The sequence below is a fragment of the Homo sapiens genome, chromosome 10, assembly GCF_000001405.40.
Source record: "Homo sapiens chromosome 10, GRCh38.p14 Primary Assembly".
Lineage (NCBI taxonomy): Eukaryota > Metazoa > Chordata > Mammalia > Primates > Hominidae > Homo > Homo sapiens.
Window position 1 is genome coordinate 42,934,871 of NC_000010.11, and position 1,131 is coordinate 42,936,001.

A 1,131-nucleotide genomic window follows, 5' to 3' on the forward strand; every position below is an offset into this window, starting at 1 on the left:
TAGGCCTGTTTAGGTGCCAGGACAGGAGGAGTATGACTTGGGTCCTGGCCTGTGAGAGGCCAGGGCAAAAGCAGTGGGGAGGAGGAAGTGGTGGGGAGATTTAGGGCCCCATGTGATCCCCAGTACCCCAATTCATGTCCCAAAACGAAAAAAAATGGTAACTCTTGGCCATGTTGTGCAATAGTCCCTAATCAGCAATGTCAGCTGAGGACACGTCCGGTCCACATTATATTTAATGATGGTCTAGCACTGTCATTACCCATTTTTTAACAAGATGGCCAAGAAAGCCACCCTTGAGGGCACCAGATTGTCTTCCTGCTGTTTCTGTCATGCTCTGCTTCTGCACACAGGAGACACACTCACAGGCAACATGCAGACACACATACATGGGAGACACACAGACACACACACACACACACACACACACAGAGGAGCGAAGCAGGAACTAGAGGCTGGCCAGCTCTACCTCTTCTCCACCAACATGTTTTGAGTCCCCTCGGACAAATCAGGCCCCATAAGGTATGGGGTCTCCCTCCCTGGTGGAGGTCACCTAGGTGGTTCAGTCAAAGCCCCCAGTGGTGGACAGGCCGAGAGCAAAGAGGCTTCTCTTGGTCCCTGTCACTCCTCCCTCCTACACTCTCCTTTCCCCCTTGGCCCCAAAGACCAAACCATCTCTTGGACTCAGAGGCCTGTGAGGTCTCCTGGGGGTCTCCAGGCCTGGATGCACCCAGCTGCTTCTCCTGGGCACCGAGGCTCCCGGCACGCCCCCTGTGACTGGGCTCTCATCTCATCTTCACCTCCGTGTCGTTCAGCTTGCCCTCCACCCATGCTGGTCCTACTGGCCATGGAAAGCCGCTGCTGCAAGACATCCTTCAGTGACTGTCCTGGCTTTGTGTCCATGCCCAGACTTAGGGGGAAGGGGAGAAGCACCAAGTCTTCAGCACAGAGTCAGTGAGGGGAGAGGAGGTGCTTCCAGTGGTTGGAAACGTTCGATTTCTTTTTAAGAGTAAGTTTTAGCTGATAAATTCCACTCCCGTCGATATCTTTTTCCAGAGAACACCTACGGAGATAAGGAGGTGTGCCCCACCCTGAGGGGCTCGGGGAGAGAGAACAAGCAGGAGGCTCAGCTTC

General features: G+C 54.2%; 1 annotated feature.

Annotated features, from left to right (window-relative positions):
* Positions 511-686: a silencer, noted in NCBI's record as "fragment chr10:43430829-43431004 (GRCh37/hg19 assembly coordinates)". NCBI's record gives its function as "represses an EF-1alpha promoter that drives an FKBP-Casp9 reporter gene in an ReSE screen in phorbol 12-myristate 13-acetate-treated (for megakaryocytic differentiation) K562 erythroleukemia cells {active_cell/tissue: K562(+PMA)}" and the evidence as "EXISTENCE:reporter gene assay evidence [ECO:0000049][PMID:32094911]".